Below are 27,570 nucleotides of genomic sequence, written 5' to 3'. Positions count from 1 at the left end.
AAACCTCCATGACAGTGTCTGAAAACCTGTTCGCAGTTAGAAATCTGAGAGTTCAAAATCTCAATCGTCAAATTAAAATCCATTTCTTGACATCAAACTTGTAGCCAATACAATGGCAAACCATGTAAACACCTGCTTTAGGAGCTAAAAACAAATTCTCCTGTACTTCCCCCTCTTCATATTCTCACCGAGTTTTAAGCCAAAATACAACAATAAAAATGTTCCCCCAGATTCCTGGACCTAAGACTACCATTTCACTTTTGTTATCGGTTTCACTCTGTACTTAGAGATGCAAAATGCATTTCAAAAAAAAATCTTAAATGACTTCTTAAAATTTTAGATGAACAGGAAAGCAAGGTAGGTATTAATGAATCTGTGGTGTAGAGTCATACTGTGAGAATTTTGATCCTGATTATTTTAGGAATTAGATAAGTCTACCCCAAATATATTAAACAAAGAGAAATCAATGTCTTTATGCAAAATTCACATAGCCCTCTTCTAAAAATGGATCTCTACTCACAGTCACTATAAATCATAAGCAAATTGATATTCTGACATAAACTTTCCTCTCTTGCATACTAGCCAGTATACAAATGAGGACACAAGGAATCTCACACAGTTGCCAGTTAGCTTCAAGTTTATGATAAGTGAGAGAACAGAGCGTTTGAGTATATGTATGAATTATTTTCCTGGATGCTAAGGGTAGGGAATACCACAATTTTAGAACTTTCTTATCTTTACTAATCTTCAGTGGATTAGAAACCTAATTTAGGGAGATGTAGATGATTATCATTTTTAAAAGAAGTTGTTAGATCAGGCTCTCCCCAACTGGAAGACTTTTGGCAAAGTGAACCTTATGTGTTGAAAGCCAGCTGCTCCCAGGGAAGCCACTGAGTCTGCTATCTACCCACGTGCTAACTCCCTGGGCCCAGAGTCTCCCTCTCCTACATCTAGGTTGGGCTTCTGGCTTATGCTCAAGTAGACATTTATTAGGTAAGTTACACAAGCTGCATATTAAGAGTATGCTTTATGCACACACAAATTGCCTGAAGGATTTATTTTGTATTCAGGATTAGCCATCAACTCTAGAGTCTTTTATTTTTTATGTCACAGCATCTTTAAAGGGAATTTCTGTTGCTTTGATACCTGGCATTGCTGCAACCTTGGGGAACTCTCTAGTCCTGGCTAAAGATTTGGCAACTTGTAGAGTTTACAGCAACTTGGGGAACCTGATATCTTTCTTCTTGGTGATTTATTCTTTAGAGAGGTGGAAAAAAGTAGTAGGTCAATATCACCAGGGTTTTGCCTTTAGATTGAAGGTGCTGAGGGAGTGATACTTCTTTAAGATAATCCAGACTACAGATGGTAATGATGAGATCTCAAAGAAGAATGTTATGAAACGTTGGCCCACACCAAGCCATTTACAGTAGTCATCCCCAGTGTTACTACTTGAACTTCCTCATGGTGCTTGTGTTGCATGTCAGCTCATATTGAAATTATGTGATAATCATTCTAGATTCAGCATCACAATTAAGAATGTCTTTGATTCTATAGCCAGTGTATTCATGCAGAACTTCTCCAGAGTTCATCCCTTTTCCATATACAGTTCACAGAAGCAATACTTTCACAAAGTTCACTATTTTTAAATTTGGAATTTGGAGATAGGGCTCTCTATTTTCAGTGATGCTGCAAATTCTGATGGGTAGCTATGGTAACAGTGGTAAGAAATCAGAAACTATCTGCTCAAGGTCCTTTGCCTAGGACATGGCTTTCATTAAAAGGGATAACTTTGCCATAGCTACAGGAAGAAGTCAGCCAGAGACTTCTGGCTCAGGTGTGACAAAACTAGCACAAAATACATGGATGCAGATCCTCCAGCTGCCATATCTTGTTAGATCTTATTCGGTTTGAAGAAGCATGGGGTGGCTTTACCTTGGCTGCCTTGGCATAACAGGGGACATCTGGCCAGTGTCTGCAGACAGTGTGGGGCAGTGGAAAGAGTACCGGGCTACAAGTAAGAATTTGACCAACTATCGACTCACGCAACTTTGGGCGAATGACTCTGGGTCTAGTCTGTCCATCTAAACAATGAAGATGCTCACACTTGCTCTACTTATCTCCCCACCTTGTAAGGAGGTGCAATGGGAAATGGATGCACGCACGCTCGGCAACCTGATTATAGGCCACCCAACCCCGCCACTTTTTTTTAAAAAAACAACTACCCCGTTGCAGGGTGTGAACTGCGGGGTAGGACAAGACAGGTCCCCCCGCCGACACACACACACACACACCCCGCCACCGTCTGTGCTGCAACTGGATGGGAAAGACAAGCGCCGGAGCCTGGGTGAGCTTTTTCTCTTCTCATCCCAGGCTACTGGGGCAGAGGAAACAGCGGCGGCTGTCTCCAAGGAGCCGCGGGTCCCTGGAGCCTCTAAATCTGCCTCTGAGCCATACTCACGGCCTCCGCGCCTCCCCCGTCTCAGAACGCACCCAGCTGTGGCGAGAGGTCCCGCGCGCTCTCCAGGTGCGATCAATACTTCCTAGCGGGCTTCCGGGCGCTGGGCCGGTGCGCGCATCCTCTCCAAAGCCACAGCGCCGCCCCACTCGTCGTAGCGTCGGTGTTGACATAATTAGACCAAATCTTGAGAGCAAAATAAATGATCTGTTCGCCTTACAGCCAAACAGATGTTTACAATTCAAATGAAAGAAATACAAACGGCAGGGATTTTTCTTCTCCCCTTCTTCATCTCCAGTGATCGCTCTTTTTTTTCTGACACATTAAAAATGTGTAAGCGATTACAAGAGTTTCCTGTCCCTGTTTGTTCTGCGGTTGCATTTCTGCGAGGTGCGCCTGTGAGTTGGGTGGGGAGAATTATTCTCTGCTGCTTCCTCTCTAGCCTCTCACCCTTCCTAACCCTCCTCCCCCATGTTACCCCTCCCCCCATGTTACCTCTCCCCCCACGGCAGCAGATATTAATTGTAATCAAACAGCAAAGGATGCGGACTTAATTGGAATCAAGTAGGCCTTTGATGATGTGTAAGGAGCGAATTGTTTGGGGGGAGGGTATAACATTACAGGTATAGCTGGATTACCAGGGCCGAATGAGCTTCTCCTTTTGTAGATTCCAGGCAGAACAAAAGAGAGGTGTGCGTGAAGAGACTCGCTGGTTTAATGTGGCGGTAGGTGTGTAATGGTGTATATTAGGGTGTGTGTATGGCGGGGGTTGGGGGGAGATTAATCCCCATTCCCCAGTGCAAAAAGTGTTTTGGTTTCTGCTGATTTTCAAAGCAGTTAAAGAAATTAGAGAAAAGGCTGTAGGCTGTGGGAAAGCTACCTCTTTCCCTCTACAACCCCCAACGCCCACAAAGATTTCCAACAAATCATGCTTCTGGATGCTTTGGTACAAGAGTTTTAGATTTCATATAAAGGAGATTGAATTTCAAACCTGCAGAATCTGCACTGGGGACTAAGGAGGCAGGCGAGGCTTGAGGTGTATCTCTGGCTCTATCTTCACCCATAATGGATGAACCATAGAGATGAGTTTTGGCTAGCGAGAGTAGTGATTCCAGGTAATCCATCTGGAATCCGAAGAGTACTGACAAAGGAAGAAGAGCAAGGCTTCCCACGCTCCTCCAATTGTACTCCTTCAGGAGCTGCTGAAAGAATCCACGGCTTTCTCCATCCCGGATTCCAAGGCTCTGGGCCTTCCTGAAACCCAGAGAAGCAGAGGAAATCGCTTCCTCCTGCCAAGCAGCCTGCTGCCGGCCTTGAGGCCGGCTAAAGGGAAAAGCGATCAGGTCCTTCTACTCTGTTATGGGCAGACTGAGCAATTGAAGCTAAGGTTCCATTTCAAGGAATTTTTTTTTTAAAGAAATTAAATCAGATCTGACAATGTTTGTACCGCGGCGTAAATGCCTTTGCCTTGGCGTGCCAGTCACCTCTAAGCGCTCTGACAAACTCAAACTCTCTTAAAACGTGCAGAGTTCAGATCATATTAATTCCTCCAAAATGTTTTGATTCAAAGTAGTTTGTATTTTGTGTAGCCACGGGCAATCAGGAAAGCGCTCCTGCCTGCCCATGGCCGGGTCCGCTCCCTCTTCGCGTGGCCCAGAGGCTACCGCAGTGTTTAAGCTTCTGAAATTAGCCTGGGGCTGCAAGGCAGAATGATCACAAAGCGAAACAAGGGCGCTTCCCCTCTTCACTTTTTTCATTTTTTCCTCTCCCATCCCCCGCCCCCCCCTTTTTAGTTGCCATCTCGATTTCACAAAACAGACCAGGGCCAAAATGTCACTTTCCACCCATGTAAGGAAAAGCTAGGTCTTCTCATCTAGCCCACTTCTGAGGTCCACAGCCCACTACCCACTTGTACCCCCACCCTGCGATTCCAATATGGATCCATTTATTATGAGCTTCATCATCACCATCGTCATCAACATTGTTCACTTATTATTAAATACTCAGAGCAGGAAATGAAAGGGACCGGTGTCTGGCAAAGGGGAGGCGGCCATAAGGGAGCCTCAGAAGATTCAGGGGGGAAAAAAAGAGTGAGATTTTCTTTCTTTTTTTAATGATTAAAAACACAGACGACTCCTGTAAATAGAAGCCTCATTTCTTCAAGAGATGCCTTTTGAAACCCGATATCTGAATATTCAACGAAGGCAAAGCTCCACTCTGTACGTACAACATTAATATGATCTCTGCAGAATTTGCTACTCAGTAATATTAACATATCAAAGCCTACGCCCGAGGCGAAAGAAGCTATCGATACGCGAGCACAGGGTAAAGTAAAGATTATTGGTTCTGATGGTTGGAGAGCCGGAGCTGCGGGCAAAATCGCGTACACCATTAACCGAGAGTCAGCACGCAGGGAGCTGCGCCTCCGAGGCAGTGGCAAATATTTTATCTAGGTGGTAATTACCTAGCTGCTGCCCCCTCTTTCACGCATTCTTTGGCTATCGGGCCTTCATTACAGGCTAAAATAATGTAATTGCCACTTAACAAAATGAGTCAGGGCGACGCTATTTTGTTCTTTACAAGTTGAAGTCACCAAATGTGAAGAACAACTGAGAATGCCCAAGCCCTCCACGCCACTGCAAACCAGGACAATGTCCCTGATTAACTCATGTAAAGTACATAGTCACCCATATTTCTTCAAGAACATCATTTGGGGTCTTTGGAAGTGGAATCTATTTTTTTCCCTCCCATAGTACATTCTAGAAACCATTAGAAATGTAAATTAATCCGGGAACTTAGCAGAAAAGAGAAAATGGTGAAAAATTGTGCTTTGCAATAAATCATGTTTCATGTGGTGGGTCAAGCATGAGCTGGAAAAGAAACAGACATTCTTAGCTTTTAGACAGTATCGGGTTATATGAAGTATAGCAGTATAGCAGCACTTGAGTTAATGTCTTCCTGATTTTTGGTGAACACAAGTAGTCTGAGCTGTTGATATTAGGGGTCCTGTGTACTACCATGACAATTGAGAAAATAGGCTTCTTTAGGGTTTTGTAAAAGGAAGTTCTGAGATGAGGGGCTGGGCAGGCTGCAGCAAAATATACGCCCTCTTTTGGGAATACACTTCCCTGCTATCCACTTGTAAATTGACATGAACATTGATTGTTTCAGAATAAACAGACACGTATAGACACACACCCTCCTCTCCAAGGCTCAACTAGGTTAACTGGCCTTTCTCTAAGACACGTGGAAATGGAATAAACTCAGCAGCTAAAATCTGAATTCCTATGAAGAGGGGTTTAGTCAAACAAGACAGACGTAAACCCCAAATTACATTCCCTTTCTCTCTGGAGCTTCACTAGTCTCATATGACATCAATATTTGGTTTCAAGTAGCAGATTCGACGATGATTTTTAGTTGAAACGAATAGGGACCGAATTCTACAGGAATAATAAAGCATCACCTAAGGAAGATAATTTCTGTGGCTCTGATAAGGTAGCTAACATTTTGGAGATACCTAAGAGCTTTGGCCTTTCTTGGGAATTGAGTGAGGGGGTGAGAGGGTGTCCCTTAAATCTCTCCCCAGAAATTCAATTGATTCCAAAGCCTCTTCCTCTCTAACTCCCTCCTCGGCCTCAAGTAATTCCACCCTCTGTCAGGTATCTTACGCTCAGATGCAGTTTCCAAGCATTTCAGAAGGTGATCTTGGTCAAGTGTGAAAGCGAATGCAAAATTGCAGTAGCAAGAGGCCGGCTGTGGGAGAAGCGGGCTCCCGTCCCTAATTAGTGGCGCTGTCCTTCAGCACCACCGAAGTCTCTAAGCGCCCTGAGTGTTCTTGCCTCACCTTATTTTTACCCGTCCCAACAGACCCCTGATCAGCACATCTCACCTGGTCCCCTGTTCACTGTGTAAATCTTTTTTGCCTCCTCCAACACAGTGCATTCAATATTCATCAGTCTTGGGCCTATTTTATTCCATTTCAATAGGTCTGAGTACCAGCGTGGCTGGCAAGCTTAATATTCCTCATTTAAAAAATCTTTGTGGAGTTATACCACGTATATGTGTGTGTGTGTGTGTGTGTGTGTGTGTGTGTGTGTGTGTGTGTGTGTGTGTTTTAATCTCCATAGGGTGAAACAAGAAGTGTTGAGCAGCTCTTTTAAATTTAATGTAAACTACCAGCATCCACTAAAACAATAACCAAGTTCCAAAAGGAAAGCACCCTTTGTTTTCTTTCCTCCTCAGTTTAAATGGAGTTTACATTGGACATTGGGATGTAAAATCTGCAGTTTAAACATGAAAGAAGCAACTGATTTCTACCAGCACATCTCTCTATCTGGAAAAGCAAATCTTTCAAGAAGCTTTCAAAGGGATGGAGAAGGGCTGAAGGACACTTATTTGGTCCCATCAGAAGAGACTCAGTTTTTAGTGTTCTGTTACTGCAGACAACTGTGGCCCTGAAGCAGGAATTAGTCTTGGTGAATAGACCACATCTTATTAATTCGTATGAAGTTAGGATAACAGCTGGTCCCTCTTGCCTTGTGTGCTGCTCGGGTTACTCAGCTTGCTAGAAAAATAAACTTCAGAGGCTTTGGGTACAGTTAAGTAGGGGAAGCTAGCAAAATCTGCACTGCCTTAAGGCTCTGAGAATGTCATAGTTCAAAACCTTTTGTCAAAATGGAACATCTGAGATGCAGCCCCCTTTAGTGCCCGAGCTGAAAGCAACAGCTCTCTCCTCTCCTCTTGCCTTCCCCCACCTTCCAATTCCATGGGTAACTCTGGATTCAGATGTTTCCCTCAACAGATGGGAACAAGAAAGCTTTATCCAGTACAGTTAACACCACCTCCTCCTCCCACCTTCCCTTAAAGAAAGAAATGTCCTGGACACTTAGAAAAATAAGGGCAGCTACAATATTGGTGTTTCATTAGCCTCCCCTGAAGCCTCAATGATCTAGCCTTTCACAGAATCCCTAAAAGCCTGAAGCTAACACCATCATCTCAAACACCCAGGCTGTGGCTAGCACATTTAGGGCTTAAAAAGACCAGAAATTCTGCTGGAGGATGTGGTATTAGTGCTGGGGGAAGAGGGTGTGAGAAACTTCTTTCTTTCTTTCTTTCTTTCTTTCTTTCTTTCTTTCTTTCTTTCTTTCTTTCTCTCTGTCTTTTTCTTTTGTCTTTCCTTCTGCCTCTAACTTTGATTCTGTCACTGTTCTGTGAGGAGCAACAAATATCTCCTATCACAAGTCTTATGGGCATAGCCTGGGTTCAAACCTTGATGAAAGAAAGGAGGCTTTTTAATGTGGATATGCCAGTGTTGGACTAGAATAATTGACTAAGCATAATTGTTTTCTTAATCATCAGAAAAGGAATCTGAGCACAACCAGATCTTCTAAACAAAGTAAGAGATAGGAGAAGAATGTCTAGGGTTAACATGTTGTTACTTGTTACTTACCTCTTCTTATCACTCCACCTTGGCCATTGAGAACAAGCCCACACTGGGCCTCCACAGAGCCCTTAATAAAAGAAACAGAAATAAAATTACTTAAATGGATACTCATATGCATGACCACGTAGGTAAAGTCTTTTAGACTAGCCCATCCCTGAACTCTGTTTCAGTAGACATTTGAAAGCAAGCATTGAGCTGAAGCAAGCTTGCCAGCAAACACAATTTTTTAAAAAATTGCAAGAAAAACCACAATCTAAAAGTTGTATAAATCTTAAGGTATGCATTTTACATCACCATACAATATTACACTTCAAAGTGCCTGGGAGTCTTTCATCTTGGCATAAGAGAATGAGAAGCCCTTTGAGTCCCCATCAAGGCACACAGCGTATATACAGACAGTGTACACTCAGCACTTTCTGAGTAGAGCAAATTACACCTAGAGTGTCAAGTCTGGGACTGTGGGTTTCTTGAGGACACAGAGGAGCTACTTCATATGCAGGATACAAGATGTCTTATGGAGGTTCTGTTTTACCCCAAATGTAGGAACATCCTGTAATCCTACCCAAAATGGGCCGTATGAAGGAAAAATCTTCAGGTTCACTCACTGTAGGCCTTCAAAGTCCTAATGGATTGAGGAATCCCTAGAGCTGGAAAGATGGAAAGAGTTTGCTGATTTTTGATTAGGAAAAATAAAAATTTCTCCCTGTCTGTCGTTTTCTTTTTTCCCAAATCAAAATGTGTTAAAGGCTCATTTTCCTTTACAAACAAACGAGGTATTGGACATGAAAGAGGCCTTGAAGGGTGTTAACCTACCCAACAGCCCGTGAAGAGTTAAGTAAATGCGGAGAGAGTCGGTGCATAATAAAAACCCACTTTACAAAACAACCTTTACAACCCTGGCTCCCTTTCGCCTCCCCATTTTCACCATATTGAGGCAGGCCTGTAAGACCCCCCTTTTCAACCTACTCACAAGCTCTTTCTTATTTTAAATGTTCTGCCTTAAAGTGATTATCAAATCAATATGAAAAAAAAAAAACTTGGAGACTGAGCATAAATTAAAGCGGTGATGGGAAAAGGTGTGACAGTTTCCTTTGTTGGCCATAGCAAATCTTTTTAGGGGACTCAAAGATGGAACTGAAGCCACAAGACTGTTTGCATCTGTTAGGCAGACTTAGACCGCCCTCCAAACCATTGGACTTTCACTTAAAATTCTGTGCAGGGAAAAGTATATTTACATTTGTTGCATTTGAAATGAGGCATATGCTGATGAATGTTTTAAAAAGGAAGAAATAAAAGGAGAGAGACGGGTTTCTCCCACACACTCCCTCCCCATTTCTTGTTTTAAAAGTAGCTATGACTCTTTCTTTTTCATTCTGCCAACTTGGAGCAAGAACAGTGGAAGAAAATAACTTGTCAGATTTACAAACTTGCTACATAGCATTCATAGATTAAATAGATAAAGATGGATATATATTATGATATATACATACATGGATATATCTATGTAAAGGTATAAACGTATATCACACACAGTACTATATTTCTTCTAGTATCTTGGACTGTGTCCCTTAGTATGAGTAATTTTGCTTCAGTATGAGTAATAAAAGAGAAAAAGGACATTCGTATATGGAAAAAGAGATAGGCTGAAGAAAAGCTTTCAAAATATCTGAAATGTAGATGATAAATGGTCTCAAAGCTCTCCAAAGCAGTGAATCACTTTCCCTCCCACTCTCTGGCGCACGGTTACAATGTTTATTTTCTTAGAAGAAACGAATCTTGGTTTCTTCACTTAACAAACTTTTTCCCCTCATAAGTAAAACATGTTGTTTGGTCGGATGACATTGCATAAATGACCAGTTGAATGGCACTAAGTCGAAAATTGGATAAACTACGGTGTCCTTTTGCACGGGATTCGCTCTTTGTCTAGTGCTTGCAAATGTTCTAATCCGCTCTTTTGAAAAATGCTCGGCTTTGTGCCTAGCACAGAAAAAAAATTTGTACAGATACAAAAAAATCAGCAGCAGACGCGGCTATTAAAAGGAGTAAATAGGTTTTAGTTGAGCTAAGCACTGAATGGCAGATTTTTTTCCCTCTTGAGACATAAGGGGATCCTTGTGAAAAATGTAAAAATGCCCTGAGCGTATAAAATTATTTTGTGAATATAAATGTAGAAAGTCAAGGTTTATGGAACCAAATCTTTTTTCTTGTGCACCGGTCTTACTGCTATGGCTCTTTGTTGGGACTGTAAGGGCTTTCACTTTAATTTAAAAATAATCTCTTGCTCAAAGGTAAATGAGGAGGAAAGATTTTTTGTGCGCAACAAGGGATCTCTTACGTCTCCAACTTATGTTCTTAGAATATTTCCCTATTTGTCCTGGAGAGTGTGAAGAAGGTGGCCAGCTTTGTGCAGACACAAAAAGTAGGAACTCACAGGTAGAACTGCACTTTTAGCTAAAAGGAGCTAAAACTATGGGTCTTTTGAATTATTTTCTGGGTATTTGTGGGCTCATTTGTTTGAAATATGCCTATGGCAACATAATTGCATAATTATAAATTCTATCTTTGGTAAAGAATGTGCAAACACGTGTTAAGAAATAAAGTAGAAGAGAGATCATCTGATTGAGTGATGGCCTCCACAGTGTCTGAATACCTGCCTTCTTTCCTTCCTTCTTCTTTTTCTCCCTTCCTTCCTTCCTTTTCTCCTTCCTTCCTTCCTTCTTTATTTTTTCCCTCTTTCATTACCGTTACTGCCTCATTTTTATCTTTTTAAGGAGGTGCATTTTACGTAAAATGTAATGGCTGGAAGAGCAAAAATAAACTTGTAAATTACCTAACTGGGCTGCGGTTTTGAGTGCACGTCAGGCGGAGAGAATTAAACTCAACCCTACACCCTGGCAAAGTGCACTGTGCGGATTATTTCCTTGGGGTAGAACTTTGAGACTTTCATTTGCGATTCTTTACTTTCCACAGATATCTAGTGTATTTGGTGAAACTTTTGTTCAAGCTTAGGGTCCCAACAATTTCCTTAGAACAAGCCTGTTTGTAGTAAGATCTCCACAAGCTCAGTCTGAGACAAACACCTGGGACGCCTCGGAAGACCCTGTAAAGTGCGGAGATTGAGGGTACGATTGGTCATCAATTTATTGGATCTTACTCTGAGTCCGGTTGGCCCAACCCCAGACTCCTCGATCTCCTCCACCTCATCCCCTCAGGGTCACAAATGTTGATTCACAAAAGACTTCTGTGAGGACAAACCAAAGATGGAGGGCCGCAGCCGCCCGGACTCCCGCACTTCCAGGTGAAATGCTTGGATCCAATGAGAGGAAGAGAACGGGCACACTCCTCCTCTAATTGTTTTGATAACTTTCCATAAGTGGTGTGTGTGTGTGTGTGTGTGTGTGTGTGTGAGAGAGAGAGAGAGAGAGAGAGAGAGAGGAGAAGAGAGAGAGAAAGAGAGACGCTTTACAGTCGGAGCATTAATGGGGCGGCAGGGGGAGGGCGAAGAGGGGAGGGAGCAGACAAATTCGCTGCATGCTTATTTACCTGCAAGTCGTCTGCTCCCGCGGCGGCCAGCCCCAGGCTGGGCCCTGGCAGGAGTCTTTGATCTGGGTGCATTCCATACTGAGAGCCATGGCTCATGAGGGACAGGTCATGGCGGCGGTAGGCATCGAGGCAGCCCAGCTCCCGCCTCTGCTCGTCCAGGCAGGACGACTTGAGCGCCCGCGCATTGTGCAGGTTAATAAAGTCGGTGGGCTCCCCGTGGTGGATCTGCTGGTAGTACTGTTGCGAGTGGTGGAGAGAGTTCAGAGAGTAGGCGTCGGGGGTGACGGCCGGGTGGCTGTGCTGAAACTCGTAATGGAAGGACTGGTGGTGGAGCGGGGTGTACTGGTGGTTAGTGGAGAAGTAGGGGGACGCAAACTCGGTGCCGGTGGTGGAGTAAGTTAAAGGAGAGGAGGAGGAATAGGCGACAGTGGAATTGGCTACTGACTCCAGACAGCCAAGCTGCATCAAACGGTAGCTGTTTGATCCGTCGTGACGTATCTGGAAGGAAGAGGGGGAAAAGGGAGAGCAGAAAAACTTGAGGTTTGTCATTTTGCAACCAAGGCGCCGCTCTCCCGGAGCCAGGAGCTTTCTCTGGCACTCCAAGGAAAGCGAGCGCGTAGGACTCGGGCCGAGCCGAAGCCGGGTCTCAGCGTCTTCACCAGAGAGCCTTTGCAAACAGGCGAACTGGGGGTGGGCGGCCTCGTCCTCACAGTCGAGAGAGCGGAAAAAAAATCCCCCACCCTATATAGGTGCGGGTGACACCACACACGCACACACACGCACAGACACACACACACAGACACACACACAGCCCCTGCCCAACTTGTGCAGGGAGCTTGGCGTTGGGATCCAGGTTTGCAACTGACTCCGGGGCCGCGGGTAGCAGAGGAACGAGTCCACCCGAAAAGAGCGCTGGCCCGGGGCGCCTTGCCACTCTAACTAGACCCCAGCATCGAAATTCTGCGCCTGTCTATGCCGAGATGTTCGGCCCGGGCTGCTCAAAATCATTGTCCATATATTTTAAAAAATCCAGTCTGTGCAAATCGTTCAACTTGCTCCCTTCCTTAGTCATTCGAGGGAGGGAATCCGACTCCCTCTTTTCTGCTTCCCTTTCCTTGAATAAGCCCATTCCAAAAGGGGTGCGTTTTCCCCATCCCCCTTGTGCATCTACTGCTTCCCCACCAGTCCCTTTTCTTTGCTTTTCTGAGAATCTTTCTTTCCGTCTCTATCTCTTTCTCTTCACTCCCCCCTTTTATTATTAAGATTATGTTTTCCCGCTCATTATGGCAAATGTTTCTTAACGTGGCAGAGAGTTGCCCTCCCTGGCGACAGATGTCATAACGAACTTTCTCCCCTTTCCTTCCTTAACTTCCCCCGAAAGACAGATTATAATTAAACGTAACGGTCCAATATAGATTAGAGACAGGGGAGGCTGCCACCGCCGCCGCCACCGCCGCCACCGCCGCCGCCGCCACACACACGCGCGCTCAAAAAAAAAAAAAAAAAAAAGTAATAATACCTCGGCATCGTGGACTAGTCCCGGAAAGGTAGTTGACATGTTGGGTTTCTCCGAAAGCTTACGATGCAATTTCCCCCTCCAAAAAAAGAATCGGGAAAAAAAAATCCAAACTTCTTGTATTTTCCAATTTTTAAAGGAAAAAAAAAATGTTCTATAGGTAGATATCTAAATTGTAATGGTTTTGCCCGGATCAGATAGCTCCTTGCCTCGTACCCACTTAAAAACCTGTAGGAACAAAATTTTCCCTCTGCACAAAAGCAGCTCCCTGGAACAGATTTTGTACTTGCTGAGTATTTCTTTGGCTGATGTCGTAGGTCCCTTGGTAATATAGAAGTTTTGAAAATTAAGCATCAGCACTGAGAACTGGGAGGACAATAGGCAGAAGAGATTTATCCCAGGAGACAAGGAATAAATATTGTATCTTCGCCTAATAAGGAACTGGAGGTTCTTTCAACATTTTTATCCATTTTTTCCAACCTTTATCATGCTTTTCTATACCGACTGAGGTGGGGACTTATCTCTGTGGAGAGTATTTGCACACATTTTATTGTGAAGCTAGAGCTCTAGCTCCAATATATGTATATTAGAGATAGAAATATATATTAATTAAAGCTTCCTTTTATATGGGGAAGTGTTCATTCCTATTGGTTCCACTCCCTGGATGCTGAAAGCTGCTTTTTCCAACAACCACCCGAATCAATTTTGCCCAGATTGGGGTGTCTGCCTTCGCCCAAGTGGAAACAATGCTGGTCTTTCCATATTTACATTGAATTTGGGTTCTTTCCCCTTTTTTGAAAGGCAAAATCAAGCGGTGGCTTACACTTTTCAGCAGCTTTAAAAATAAATAATGGTGATGGACAGTCCCAAGTTTCCATCATCAGGAAATGGTGTAACTGGCAATGCATTTAGGAAAAATGCAAGGGAATAAAGATGTAAGACAAGATTCTACATTTAGGTAAACTGTTGTCTTTCACTCCCCAAACCAAACCATATCCCCCCTCTTTTGTGTTTTTCTTCTTCCCTTTTGGAAACACTGCTGGTGGTGGTGGGGTGTAGACCGTTCAGCAGTAGCATTAGGTTTTTGAACACTATTACCCCCAAAATAACCCTTAAATGCTTGGAAGTTATATTTTATAAATAGAGGGCAGGAAGGAAGCAGTGCACACATATTTCCATCTCTTCAGTGGATTTCTTGACTTTCAAACAGTTTTTGAGCTTTCCTTCCTTCAAAATTCAGCTTCCTCCACCAAGTTGTTTAGTGCCTGGAGGGGGTGGTGGTAGCTATAAACCTGAAATACTGAGGCTTTGCTCCTCAGTGTCTACATTATAAGAAAGAACTGGCTGGCCCCACAGACTCATCTCATAGATAGAAGGGGTAATTCAGTCTTAATTGCCATTTCATTTGGTTTGCTTTTAAGTGTTTAAGCTGAGAAGGTGTCTTAATAATAAGCCTCAGGCAAACAGGCATGTGGCTTTTTTTTTTTTTAGGTTGGGGTTTGGGAGGGTTTATTAGGATCTGCTCATGCAGGCTAACTGGGGCTGTCACTCAGAGCTCTTTGCTTTATACAAATGGACAAAGGCACACGACAAGAATTGAAATGCATTGTCTGAAATGGAGATACACGATTCTTCAGCCCCACATGGGGTCAGCAGCCAACACTTGTTCCCTATTTCAAGGTGTGCCAGTGCTGCCCCCCTCCCACCCCTCCTTGAAATTCCATATTTTGGCCTAATGAAGTAAGGAGACTGAGAGACCAATGATGACAAAAAGGAAGAATATCCAACTTAATCTTTAAGTAAAAGGGGTAAAATGAGTGCTGTTGGCTCTAGGGGTTGAATCCCAAAAATGTTTGCAGTGGAGTCTTTGTTTACCAGGTCTGAGTGGGGCCTCCATAGCTTACCCACGGAGAAAATAACTAATCATCTCTGGGAGATGGAGACTGCCCCCACGACCTTAACTCAGGCACCCCTGCCCCTGGGAAAGTGCAGACCATTCCCTGGAAGAATATGTAGGACTTGCAGGTTATCTTGGGGAATGCCCAGGTGCGCTTTTCCTGGTGGATGATATTGGCTTCCCAGTTAGTCCCGGTCAAATGGAAGAGGATAGCCCTTCTCAGACATGTTGCAATCTCCTTTCCAACACCCCTACTGTCAGATACACCTTCATTGAAGGTGACGGTACCTTCTCTTCCCAGTTTAGGTCCAGGCAGCAGACACAAAACCCTCTCCCCGGGGAACAACAATGAGGAAGCTCAGGAAGATGTGGCCGCCTGCTCTGCCTGCTGGCCCAGAGTGTTTGTTCCACATGTTTGTCCCTGTCTGGAATAAGAGCCACACATAGCCCCCCTCACCCCTGCCACCGCACTCAGAAGATATAGCTTTATGATACTCTCGGTAATGAGCTCTGGCCTTGAACTGAGTACACCCCATGGAATGACCTCCAGTAGCCTGGACCCTGTGAACATCAGGACATCACCAACTAACTGGCAATCATCGCATTCCACCCCCTAACCCCACTTTCATGGTTCACTTTCCTGAGTGACTTTTAGGTATCCAAACAAAGAGTGTCCAGGGTTTAACTTACATGCTTGTTGAACTCTTGTGGACATGAGGGGAAACTAAAGATCCTGAAGAGTGAGAAAAGACCCTTTCATTTGTACTTAAGGAAAATGAAGCAGGAAGGATAAAATGGCTCTCTTTTAGTTTTGAGATTTCCCTTGCCAGGGCCCTTGACTACCTTAGAAAGCATCCCTCTTAACCCTATGTCTTGGCTTCCCACACCAGCATCTGAACTGCAGGGAAACTTCATTTGGCCAACTGCTCCCTCCCACTTCATTCCAACTTAAAAAAATAAAAAAGCTGTTTTCCCCTGAAAGAAACAAAGTTGAGGAAATCATCCATGCCATATGCACATATTGGTCAGCGCTCCCTTCCATCTGCTCTGGGGTTGCTCAGCGCGCCCCTTTTCTAAAGAAACTCATTGAGGCAGGTGTGTGGTGTGTTTGGTGCCTGTGTGTGTGTGTGTGTGTGTGATGTGATGTGTGTGTGTGTAGCGTTCATTTCTGTCAGACACCCCCCCATCCAATTAATAGTCTTGAGCAATTAATAAGTGTCGTCTGACTTGACCCAAAGACTGGGCTTTTTAGCAAAGTTGATTCCTCTTTCTCTGTTTTACTTCTTTTCCAGAGAGTGATTGGTCACTCATTTTCCAGCGGGTGGCATAATTGAATTAACTGGCCACAGCACTCTGGTGACTATTGCCTGGGGCCCCCTCCAACAGGGAACCCGTGGTGTGCATTCCAGCCTCAGTCAGAGGCCAGGCCGGCGTCAGTCACTCAAAATAGCCGGCAAGAGCATGGTGGACACGCTGCTGGCCTTGCACCCCAAAAGCTGAAAAGGTTGTTCCTCAGCACTTAGTTCTCCTGTTCTTCCTTCTGGTTCCATGCTCCACATGCCAGGAAGGAATGTCTTATGGCAGTCACTTTAGGAATCTGCAAAGAAATCTTTATATATATATATATCATTATTGTCTTGGTTAGAATCCAGAGCTGGAAGAGTTTTGGGGTAGTTGCAAATTCCTTCCTGGGCTTCTAGGCCAGCGTTATACAAATCACTCCAATCTCAACATCCAATCTCAAACATCTTTACAGTTTTCACCCAATCTCAAACATCTTCACTGAAAGAGTTTGCCACTCCACTGTGTGTTTGAGGTTGGTGAACAATTACAAACGAACTCATGCCTATCCCTAGCTTTAATAAACATGTATTTCTTCAGGTTTCTTTCTTTTTTTCTCTTTCTTTTGGTACTTAGGGTTTCCTTTGCTATTGCAAATTGATTTTGTTTTTTTATTGCTTGAATACACTTCTCCCACAAAATTGCCTATATAATACTGAGCAAAGTGGAATAATTATTGGAATTATTTTGGGCATTTTGAAACAAAAATATTTTCTTGGATGTATTTAGACACATGAATCAACCAGAATATCTTCTTTGCTCTCTCCCTTTTGCCCTCCCTCCCCTTTTTTTTCTTTCTCTCTTTCTTCTTCCTTCATTTCTTCTCTTTTTCTTTCCCTGTTTTTTTTCTTTTATTCCCTCCCTCCTTGCTTCCCTCCTTTCCTTCCTTTTTAACAAAAGATAGATAGAGATGGGATTGAATCTCTTATACTTATGCCTTTTAGGCAAACATGTGTGTACATTGTCTAAGAATGAAATTTAGCATGTTCTGCTCCAGTGGGAGGTGCAGCTGTATAACCAGACATGAATTTACACAATAGGAAACAATTTCCATGGTCACAAAGACCCTGTCTTTGAAAGAACAGTGGGGCACTAAGGATCCCATATAGGTGAATGATGTTCATTCCACAAAGCAAAACAAGATATGTAGGTATGAAAATCAGCACCTCTCCTTACTGCTTCCAGCTTCTGCCCTTTCACTCCTTTTTTGGATGAACATGAAGAGCAGAGGTGCCTTCAGAGAATCCATAGTAACCAAAGGACTCCTGCGACTTATCTAGTGGTGTTTTATTCCATCTGCCCTCGGGCCCCCTTCCACCATTTTGAGAATCCCCAACCGTCTCAGTGCCTCCACTTGGTAGGCTTCCGAGAGGCACTCAGCCTGGGGTCTTCTAGAGACAACCACAGAGGGAACCTTCAGGGCCCTTTTACAGCAGGGTCTAAGTTTCACAGTCACTTCGGATTCTAATGGTTCAGAAACGTCTTCTAGTCCAAGGACCTCCTGTGGTGTGATTCTTCCAAGCTCCTAACCTCTCCTAGTCACTCAGTCACTGCTCTTGGGGAATGCCCAAGAGCTCTGGTGAGTGGGTGGGGGCAATACTTCAGGTGGTGGAAAAGAAGAGTATGCTGGGTTCACCATGCCGTAAACCAACCCCTAGTTTATTCATTTATTCTTCACTAGTCGAGATGAAGACAGAAAAGTGCTCCAAACACCAGGGCAATTCTGGGCAGAGACAGCAATCGAAAACTTGATCCAGTTGTATGGATCGGAATATTCGGAGAGAAAAGGCATGGTAACGGGCATTCATGTGCAGACGCGCGAGGTTTCCCCTCCCAGTGATTGCTTCCTTTCCTTCTGGCCTGTGCTGATGCCGACTCTGGGTCTCTTTCGAAAGGTCCCTCCCTTTTCCAGTTATCAAATCTGATAATTCTTAATAAATGATCAAGTAATCAAATTTGACAACTCTTCTACTTCTCGGTATTCTACACCCATCCTACTTTCTATGACAGAAGTGCCACGTTGCGTAAAACGTTACCTAATTGCAAACAAGAAAAGGAGGCTTTTTTTTTTTTTTTTTTTGAGACACGGTCTCTGTTGCCCAGGCTGGAGTATGGTGGCGCGATCTCGGTTCACTGCAACCTCCGCCTCCCGGGTTCAAGCGATTCTCCTGCTTCAGCCTCCCAAGTAGCTGGGACTACAGGCGCGTTCCACCACGTCCGGCTAAATTTTTAGTAGACACCGTGTTAGCCAGGATGGTCTCGAACTCCTGGCCTCGTGATCGGCCCGCCTCGGCCTCCCAAAGTGCTGGGATGTAATTACAGGCGTAAGCCACCGCGCCGGGCCAGGCAGGCCATTTTTTAAAATAACTTTAGGATGTTTAGGGGAAATTAACATTTCTGACAGACTCTGCAGTCATTTTAGTTTAAGGGTTGTCATTGATTTTTTTAAACTCCTTTTTCTTTCTCTTCTTCTTCTTCTTCCTCTTCCTCTTCTTCTTCTTCTTCTTCTTCTTCTTCTTCTTCTTCTTCTTCTTCTTCTTCTTCTTCTTCTTCTTCGTCTTCTTTTCTTCTTCTTCTTCTTCTTCTTCTTCTTCTTCTTCTTCTTCTCCTTCTTCTTCTTTTTCTTCTTCTTTTTTTTTTTTTTTCAAAACCTCCTCCTTCACGACCCTACCCCGCCCCCTGGGCTGTTTGTCAAAAGCCTAACACGGATCTGTATTCCGCCTTAGCCTTGCAGCCGACAGGCAACACGGATTCCATAGTCGTACAGAGAAAATGCATTTGCAAGCAATTAAAAAGCCTCGCGAACGTATTAGTGGAAAATTAAGTGGGAGAACTCCCTCTTCTGAAGTCTTCTGTTTGATAACAATGGAACTTGGAGCCGAGGCCCTCATCTGAGACGGCAGGCTCCCTGCCCTTCTGCAACAGCTGCCAAGCTGTGCTCAGGCAGGGCGCAAACTCACCCGCCCTCTGCGCGAAGCTCTGGCGCATGCAGAGCCTGCCTCGCCAGCCCTACCGCGTCAGGGGACGTTCACTCCCAGGCAGCAGAACCGGAGACCGGGAGGGCACGATGCCCTGGAGGCCTCCTGGCTGGTTGCACGCCTTCAGGCAGGAAGCCAGTTCTTCTGGCTAAGGCCTTTCTCCCATGGGAAAATTGCCTCTTTCGGCCAAGAAATGTTTGAGTTCCGAAAGAGGCTGCACTTTGTCCTCTTTTTCTTCTTTCAGTTGTTTAACCTTGTAGCAATGTAAGGGGCTTTGCAAGTCCGTCTGCCAGCCTTCTGATTGCATATGGAGACTTAGTTTACCAACGCTTTAAAAAGTATTGATTCATTTGATCCTGAGAACACTCCCCTTTTCTGCCATTCAGGACATATATAATTATTATCCTCTTTGTATAAACGAAAAAATAACAGCAAAGTAGCAGCAACTAACATTTATTGAGCTCTTATCATACGTGCCAGGCCCCGTTTCGAGCCCTTCATAAGGATTGTATCATTTCATTCTTTCAACCCTTGGATGGTAGGTATTAGTGCAAATGCATTCCCTTTGCAAAAGATGAGGAAACGGAAGTGTTTGGCGGCAGCTCATCCCAAGCCCCACTCCCCCTCAGCAGGTCTGTGAGATGGGGAAAGTGAGACTCAAGGAGGTGTGAGTGATCCCTGGGTCACAGGGGCTCTGGCCCCAAATCCGGAAGTTTTACTTTGTCCCCCTCCATCTTCTGGTCTTTACTGTTGCGTCTAAACTTTTCCAGGATTTTAATTTCCTCTTTTTACCCCTCCCCCTCGCCCCCACCCACCATCTCCATCCCTCTCCAAACGCCTAAAAGAAAACACCCAGACGGAGGCCTGGTCTAGGCTTCTTTTGCAGTACAAGTCATCGTCACACCTTCCAGGGGAAGTCGCCTGGACTACCGCGGCCTCAAATTCAGCCTCCCGGATCTTACCGCTAGCTTTCCAGGGGACCGACAAGGGTGCAGTGCTCCCAGGGTTGCCCTCTCCCCTGGCTGGTCCGCCTCTGGTTCTCTTCAGAGTCGGTGGCTCCACCTGGCCAGTCGTGGATCTCGGACGCTGTGGCACTCAGCAGGGAAATCAGGCCGAAGGGACCACCAGCTGTACCTGCCAGTCTCCTGCGCCCTCTTCGCATTCAGCGGCAGGCAGCTGCGGCTTGGTGAATTCCGCGAATTCCGCGCTGGCCCCGGGACCCCCTGGTAACTGAGGTTGCACGAATTGAGCCGCAACCATAGGGCCTAGGCACCAACCCTACTTGGGCATCTTCTTGGGCATCAATTCTACTTGAACAAGTTACTTAATTTTCTCACCTGTAAAATGAGAAAAATAATACACTTAGCTGGTCCAGCTGTTGTGAGAAGTAAGTGAATATATATATCACTGAGATCAACGTGGACAAGGAATGCCTTTATAAATATTGGCTATTATTTGAAAAGAGGGAGAGTTGTTAAGGAGGCAACTAAAGAGTGACAATATCAGTGGAGACTCTTGCTTCCCTAGGGCCCGTTTTGCGAGCCTTGGACAGATGTTACCAAAGAAAATTCTGCTGGAGGAGACTCCAGAAGCCATCAGATTCTACCTTCTACTGCCGTATAGGGTCACACAGCCACTGGAGCTACAGAGCCAGGGCTGGAGCTAGAATTCAGATGCTTGTGTCCTCTCAGCCCCAAGTCACTGGTTCAGGATTCAGGGAATGGACAGCTCGGTAGTCCAGTCCTTTTTTTACATGTCTATTTTGTATTTCCTCATGGCTTAACTAACATTTTGGTCTTTAAATTTTTTTTAATTTCATTGTTTCTTCTTTCTTCCCCTCCCTTCATGTCTTTCTCTCTTTTCTCTCTCTCTCTCTCTCAATTCTTTCCTCCCTCTCTCATTCTCCATCCTTCTCTCCCTCTTTCTCTCTCCCCACATTTACCCTTAGCCTCTCCTTCCATTCCACCCTGTCAATGTATTCAGGGGTACCGCCTCTTCTTTCCTGGAATTCTGCTCCGACTTAACTCCCTCCCTTCTAATTTCCAAAGGTTTCTGTTTCATTTTGCCTTAACATCCTGTGCATGGTCTCAGTGAAGTGGGGGTGTGGAGGTGTTTCTTCATCCACAATAATTCATGTTCTGGTCACCTTGGTACATAGCTCCTCTCCTACCTTCTAACCAACCCCTGTGGATCTGTTTTGTTGCTGACCCCAAGCTCCTGCCTCTTCTCCTTCCTACTAGCCTTGGGGAGCTTTGAGGCAACCAAGGCCTCCAGTTACTTTTTTTTTTTTTTTTTTTTTTGCTAAAAGAGCTTTGTCTGTTTCTTCTGTCAATTACCCCAGTAGCCTCTCAGAGGCCACGTTTATTTTTCCATTGACCTTTTCTTCCTTATGTACTGGAACAATGCCTTATTATTTTATTTATCTTAATCTCTGGTGCAATCGTCCTTTTTTCTTCAACTTGGCTCTGCTAGTGTTTGCCTTTACACTTTCTCGACTTCATTATGTAATCTTGCTGAATCTCCACACTCTGTGCATGCTGTTTAGACCTCACGTCTGTCTTTTACTTACCCTTGAAGAGTTTTGTTTTGAAACTCCTGGCCCATTCATATTTGTCTTATTCCTTTGTTTCCTACTATCTCGTTGCTGCCTGTAATGCCTATGGATAGTGTCCAGAAATTTGCACAATATCTGCTTTATTACAGATCTGACCCAACAGAACATTCCATTAAAAAGATATATTTTCCTAATTTGGCCCTGACACTTTTGGTGAACTGTGATAATGCCCCTTCCTCCTAAGCTAGTTCTGGTTGTAGGCATCATAGGGACATTAGATAATTGCTAGGATGACTTTCACTCCTTTGATTTCCTTTTGAGCAAGTGGAGGACAATGGAGTATTCACTGACTGCCACTGATTGGCTCTGGGACCTCAGACACTTAACCACGCTGCTCTCTTTCACAGCCAGGCTGTATTAAATGAGGACAAATAGGTATGAAACAACTTTGGAACTGATAATGTACTTTAAAATTATTTAGTATAGTTTATTGCTGCAACTCACATTCTTTCTGGTAGGTCAAGTCTCTTCGTTGGCTTAATATCAATCCTAATAGTGATGAAAAGTATTGCTTTTCTTCTATGACCTCTCCTTTCCAACACTCAGCTGTGGTCTGTCTGTCTTGATCATAGATATTTCTACTGACATCCTTGTTAGAGCACTGTGTTTCAAAAGTCTAGATTCAGATTGTGATACCTTTTCTTCAGGCCTCGTCTCCATTTTGGTGTCATGAAAAGCCTTGAGGAAAACAATAGCCACCCTACTGAATCCCCTCTCTATCTCTCAATGTCATCTGCAAAGGATGGACATTGTAATCCCAGTAAAAGACTACCCCCACCCCTACTCTTTGGTAATCCTCTCTTGATCAGTTTCCACTCCTACTCTCAACCACCCATCCCTTTTCCAGTCTTTGTTTTTAGATAGAGGGCCTTTACTAAAAAACATACTGAAAAAAAAAAAAAGACACAATTCACTCCAGTGATTCTTGGAATGTCTCCCCCTTAGGGGCATCCTGGCAACCTGGCTTGGAATAGTTCATGTAACGGAAAGTTCATTTTAAGTTCAGTGAAATGGGGCAGTGTAGGTTTTTGCTTTGCTATCTTTAGGTGCGAAAATGTCACCTCTTGCACCCTTTTTTTTTTTTTTTTTTGAGACAGAATCTTGCTCTGTCACCCAGGCTGGAGCGCAGTGGTGTGATCTCTGCTCACTGCAAGATCCGCCTCCCGGGTTCACACCATTCTCCTGCCTCAGCCTCCAGAGTAGCTGGGACTACAGGTGCCCGCCACCACTCCCAGCTAATTTTTGTAGTTTCTTTTTTTTTTCCCCCATCATCAATATTTATTGAGCATTTACAGTGTACTAGGGACAATACAGAAAACATTGTCCCTGCTCTTGAGGAGCTTACATTCTAAAAGAAAAAATACACCTCTTTTAAAATGGCATTTTTGTTTGGTGTTTTCTGCAAAGTACTGAGGAAATACTTTGTAAAGTGAGCTTTGGGTATAACTTAGCCCCATCATTATTTAGAGAATAGAGGAAGAAGAAAGAGGGAGGATTTTAAAGGCAGACAATGACAGACCATTCAGGATAGGTAGGGTTTTAAAGGGAGATAAACACAATCTCATCAACTAAGGAGAGATTTGCTGCAGTAAATAGGATGAGGGAAATAGTCTGTGGGATGCAAGCAAAGGAAGCAGGGTGCCTTAAACATTGAGTGGAGCCAGAAAGATCATGCGGCCTCTTTCCAAGTACATGGCTACCAAGTAGGAATGGTTGGTGACAAGATAGAAGGCTAAAAAAGGAAGGTAATCTTGTGCACCTGACAAATAGGAAGAATAAAGGATCAAAATCAAATGCAAGCTATAAGAGTATCAAGAAATTCTTAAAAACCAAAAAGTGATTTGGAAGCACAAAACTTGTAGTTAATGCTACCCAATGTCATGACGAGGTTTCACCATCTTGGCCAGGCTAGTCTTGAACTCCTGATCTCGGGTGATCCACCCACCTTGGCCTTGCAAAGTGCTGGGATTACAGGCATGAGCCACTGCGCCCAGCCATCTTGCACCCTTCTTTACAGAGAAATTGTGACTAAATCTAGCATTGGAACTTCTCGCTAGTACAAGACACTGGAAACAGGTGTAGACTGTGATGTATTAAATATGTACCATATATTAGAAATATCTGTAATGAATGCAGACATTCTGATAAATAATACAATGTAAGGCTCTTTGTATGATTGAACACTATCTACTTCTCATATATTTATGTGCCAGCAGATAAAGAGAACAGGTTTCTTTCCCTAGTTAAATACGTTGAAACAGCATTAGTCATTTAGGAGTGTGTTCCAACCTGAATGCTAAGATTTAGATGGTGGCAAAACTAAGCACATGTAGGTGCTCTGCCCTGGCACATTCAGTTTTTACTTAGAGAAGGAAGCTCTCCCGTTAATTATCTGGACTCTGATGATGGAGGACAGGGAGTAGTGGAGAATGTTAGAAATGCATCATTTTAATGTGCTTTTCATCGACAAGGTCAAATGTGTTTCAGATGCAGTTGACAGCAAAATTCAAAATCCTTGAAATGTAGAAATTTTATACCTTGACAATATACTTGTTCATCATTATAATGTAGATTATGGTGGCTAAAATTGCCCAATCTTTAAGGAGTGAGGATTTCAAATTGTTAATTCTAACAATTTTGACTCTTTTTTTCAAAATCAGAAAACCAAAGGTCACTTCACAGACTGTGTTTTCCCAGAGAACATGGAATCTTTTCACACTTCCACAGATAAATATGACTACTGCCTTATTAGAAAATGAATATAGGAAGTTCATCTTGTCTTTCCCCAAGATGGTATATTTACATGAAGATGAGTTTATGTTATGAGGAGAATGCCAATTGGGTGGCTTGGAATGACATTTAGGGATTTATGATGCCATAGAGTCTAGTCTATTTTTTAAGAAGTGATTGATTCACTAGATATTTAAAAATGCTAAAGAGTAGGGACATATTTCACTTACTTGATTCAACTGTTCATACAATGGCACCTTAGTGCAGAATATAGGGCCATCTCAACACCTAATTACAGTACCTTACATTATAGGGAAAGAAGATAATGAAAAGATAAACCAAAGAAAATCCAGAGCTCCCTTTACCAGCAGCAAAACTTGCAAAATATCTTTTTATTCTAATGAGAAATTTTCTCACCCAATGTGAGTGTCTAACAGATGGACACAAGCAATATCAAATTGTCTATGACTGTGCTGTCTTATGCAGTGATGGTAGCCACATGTGGCTATTGAGGACTGTCATGGACTGAATTCCTATCTTAAAACCCTAACTCCAATGTGAGTGTATTTGAAAATAAGTCCTTGAAGGATGTTAACTGAGGTCATAAGGTTGGGTCCTAATCCCAAACCAAAGAGCACTAGTGTTCTTAAAAAAAGAAGAGGAGACATCAGAGGAAGGTCATGTGGGGAAACAGCAAAAGAAAAATTGCTATCTACAAGCCAAGGATCTCTCCTCTGAAGAAACCAAATCTGCTGAGACCTTGATCTTGGATTTTCAGCTTCCACACCTGTAAGAAAATAAATTTCTGTTGTTTAAGTTCCACAATCTGTGGTATTGTGTTATGGCAGTTCTAGCAGACTAATACAAACACTTGGAGGAAACAACAACAGTATCCCCTGATATTAGGAGTTGGCCTAGTACTATTGGTGAGAACTTAGTTTTCCTGCAAGCTGGCCTGGCACTCACAGTTAGGTCTTTGTGCTCTCCCGTTGAGCACAATCTTATAGAACATCAATATCAGGCAGGGCCTCTCTGTGACCATGATGGATGAAGATGAAAGTAATAACTCTAGTAATGCCTGCACACAGACAAAACATGAACATTGTTTAAGCCACAAAATACCAAACATTCTCCTCCTCTGGCCAATAGGAGTGACTGCTACTTCTTAACCATTTATAGCTCCAGGGCCATTCAAGTATTTACACTGTATAAAAAGTTTGTTGAGGTACCCAACCAGAGTTCTTCCTGTTTTCTGAGGTAATTCAATACAGTGTGAACCACTGCTTTTTTGGACAATTTCTGAAATTATCCAACCAAAGTCCAAATCCTTTCTAACACTGTTTTACTCTGATGTTCAGTGGTTTCCCATGACATGTGCCCTTTCTTGATGAAAGTTGTAAACCAAATTTCAACTACAGCTGTGTGCTTGGTGGTCTTTGGTTAGAAAGCATTGGCAATTTGAAATAAAGCTAGTCCAAATTGAGATATACTGTAAGTATAAAATACACATTTGATTTTCAAATACTTAATATGAAAAAGAGAATGTAAAATATTTCATAATTTCATATTAATTATAATGATAATATTTTGGAAATGCTGATAGAATGTATTATTAAAAGTCAATTTGCCTGTTCTTTTTTAATGTAGCCACTAGAAAATTTAAAATTACATATGTGGCTTGCATTTCATTTCTGTTGAATTTGCATTGTTTTATAATGTCCCAGAATAGCCAATAATTGACCATCCTGACCATGCATACACAGCATACAGCTTTTTTCAAAGAAGTTAATTAATCTCATTAGGAGACACTATACTGTGAGTAACAAACAACTCACAAATCTCTGTGGTTTAACACAACAAAAAGTTATTTCTCTCAAACACACAATTCACTGTGAGTCTGAATACCTCACCAGGGAGCTGTTCTCCATTTGGCAGCACAGGGATCTAGTGAGATATTTATTTCTGCATCATCATAAGGTGGAGGGTGCTGGACGGTCTTCTGCAAGTAAATAAGTTATTGGTTCCAGAAACACATTGGCCAGATCTAGTCATGTGGCTCTGCTTAATCATAGGGCATCTGGAGAGTGTAATCTCTTCCCCTATTCCCAGAAGAAGGAGAGAAGTGAAAATGAAAAGCAATTGCAATATCTGCCATAAAGAGAAAAATGTAAATAGAAATACATGCTCTAGATCTCTAGTTTAACACAAATGTGTGACATATTTGACACATGCCTAATGTATTTTGCTTAGGAGGCCTGGACTCAGAGGGTATCTACACTGACACTGAAGATGCAATTTTTTAAAAACATGCTTAAGTCTTCTAGTTCATAGTTGTATGGCAACAATTTGAAGTTTTCAGCTACTTAGATGAAATGTGTAGTTACCAAGAGCTCGCAATTCTTTACCTCCCCTTCTCATGCTAAGATAAACTTTCAAAACAAAGTTAAAACTGTGTTTTGAAAGTGTTATGTAATAAGATTAAATAGAAAAGAAGAAGGTCTTCAGGATCATTGACTTTTTAAAGTTAAGGCCTTATTTAAAGTAAGGCTCTGTATTTAAATCTACATCTATTTCTTTCCCCCCACCATATGCACACACACACAGACACACATACACACACACCATATATTACTTTATTCAACAAGATTTCATAACATTAAAAACAAAGTGTGATCCTGGAGACTTCATTAGTTAGAATCCTCCCATCTGCAGGAAGATTCCTAAAATGCAGGCGAATTTGCCCTTCTTATCTTCAAAGGTCTCCTCCTAGCATCAGAAAAGTTGTTTGTAGTAAGCCCAGGGGAAGGAGGAGGGTCTGACAAGCTTTCTCCTCCCCTTTTGTGGCTGAACTGAGAAGGCTTCTAGTATGACTAATTCTACCAATATAGATCAGTAGGTTAATTTCTGGAGGAGGTAAGCCTATGGCTGTGTGGGGTAGAAGAAAGGGGGGCCACAGCACTTCATCTCATTTTCCCGCCCCCTCCTTTTCTCCTTTCCTGTCTCCAGGGTCTGCCACTGCCCTCCTAGAATGCTAGCCCCCTGCACACAGCCTG

General features: G+C 43.3%; 1 protein-coding gene across 1 annotated transcript in view, besides 8 other annotated features; it reads right to left on the bottom strand.

The window, feature by feature from the left end:
- TFAP2D (transcription factor AP-2 delta) overlaps window positions 1-13,529 on the bottom strand; it is a 59,508-nt gene extending 45,979 nt beyond the window's left edge. Inside the window, exons 1-3 of the mRNA NM_172238.4 lie at window positions 12,961-13,529; window positions 11,442-11,939; window positions 7,905-7,965 (exon numbers count right to left, since the gene is read on the bottom strand). Coding sequence (NP_758438.2) covers window positions 7,905-7,965; window positions 11,442-11,939; window positions 12,961-12,999 — 598 coding nt within the window. The 5' untranslated portion in view covers window positions 13,000-13,529. The remainder of the gene's footprint in view (window positions 1-7,904; window positions 7,966-11,441; window positions 11,940-12,960) is intronic.
- Window positions 1,959-2,649: an enhancer, noted in NCBI's record as "H3K4me1 hESC enhancer chr6:50692119-50692809 (GRCh37/hg19 assembly coordinates)". NCBI's record gives its function as "activates a minimal SCP1, AML or CMV promoter by ChIP-STARR-seq in naive H9 embryonic stem cells {active_cell/tissue: H9 hESC(naive)}" and the evidence as "EXISTENCE:reporter gene assay evidence [ECO:0000049][PMID:30033119]".
- Window positions 2,650-3,342: an enhancer, noted in NCBI's record as "NANOG-H3K4me1 hESC enhancer chr6:50691426-50692118 (GRCh37/hg19 assembly coordinates)". NCBI's record gives its function as "activates a minimal SCP1, AML or CMV promoter by ChIP-STARR-seq in naive H9 embryonic stem cells {active_cell/tissue: H9 hESC(naive)}" and the evidence as "EXISTENCE:reporter gene assay evidence [ECO:0000049][PMID:30033119]".
- Window positions 6,085-6,379: a silencer, noted in NCBI's record as "tiled region #1859; HepG2 Repressive non-DNase unmatched - State 10:DNaseD, and K562 Repressive non-DNase unmatched - State 10:DNaseD". NCBI's record gives its function as "represses a minimal TATA promoter and a strong SV40 promoter by Sharpr-MPRA in HepG2 and K562 cells {active_cell/tissue: HepG2 | K562}" and the evidence as "EXISTENCE:reporter gene assay evidence [ECO:0000049][PMID:27701403]".
- Window positions 8,531-9,524: an enhancer, noted in NCBI's record as "VISTA enhancer hs865". NCBI's record gives its function as "enhancer in: hindbrain (rhombencephalon)[3/6] | midbrain (mesencephalon)[6/6]" and the evidence as "EXISTENCE:transgenic organism evidence [ECO:0001131][PMID:17130149]".
- Window positions 11,265-11,795: an enhancer, noted in NCBI's record as "OCT4-NANOG-H3K4me1 hESC enhancer chr6:50682973-50683503 (GRCh37/hg19 assembly coordinates)". NCBI's record gives its function as "activates a minimal SCP1, AML or CMV promoter by ChIP-STARR-seq in primed H9 embryonic stem cells {active_cell/tissue: H9 hESC(primed)}" and the evidence as "EXISTENCE:reporter gene assay evidence [ECO:0000049][PMID:30033119]".
- Window positions 18,686-19,185: an enhancer, noted in NCBI's record as "H3K4me1 hESC enhancer chr6:50675583-50676082 (GRCh37/hg19 assembly coordinates)". NCBI's record gives its function as "activates a minimal SCP1, AML or CMV promoter by ChIP-STARR-seq in primed H9 embryonic stem cells {active_cell/tissue: H9 hESC(primed)}" and the evidence as "EXISTENCE:reporter gene assay evidence [ECO:0000049][PMID:30033119]".
- Window positions 19,186-19,687: an enhancer, noted in NCBI's record as "H3K4me1 hESC enhancer chr6:50675081-50675582 (GRCh37/hg19 assembly coordinates)". NCBI's record gives its function as "activates a minimal SCP1, AML or CMV promoter by ChIP-STARR-seq in naive H9 embryonic stem cells {active_cell/tissue: H9 hESC(naive)}" and the evidence as "EXISTENCE:reporter gene assay evidence [ECO:0000049][PMID:30033119]".
- Window positions 19,807-20,308: an enhancer, noted in NCBI's record as "H3K4me1 hESC enhancer chr6:50674460-50674961 (GRCh37/hg19 assembly coordinates)". NCBI's record gives its function as "activates a minimal SCP1, AML or CMV promoter by ChIP-STARR-seq in primed H9 embryonic stem cells {active_cell/tissue: H9 hESC(primed)}" and the evidence as "EXISTENCE:reporter gene assay evidence [ECO:0000049][PMID:30033119]".

Source organism: Homo sapiens, chromosome 6 (assembly GCF_000001405.40).
Source record: "Homo sapiens chromosome 6, GRCh38.p14 Primary Assembly".
Classification (NCBI taxonomy): domain Eukaryota; kingdom Metazoa; phylum Chordata; class Mammalia; order Primates; family Hominidae; genus Homo; species Homo sapiens.
The sequence above is the reverse complement of the archived record's forward strand: the minus strand, read 5'-3'. Positions and strand labels throughout refer to the sequence as shown.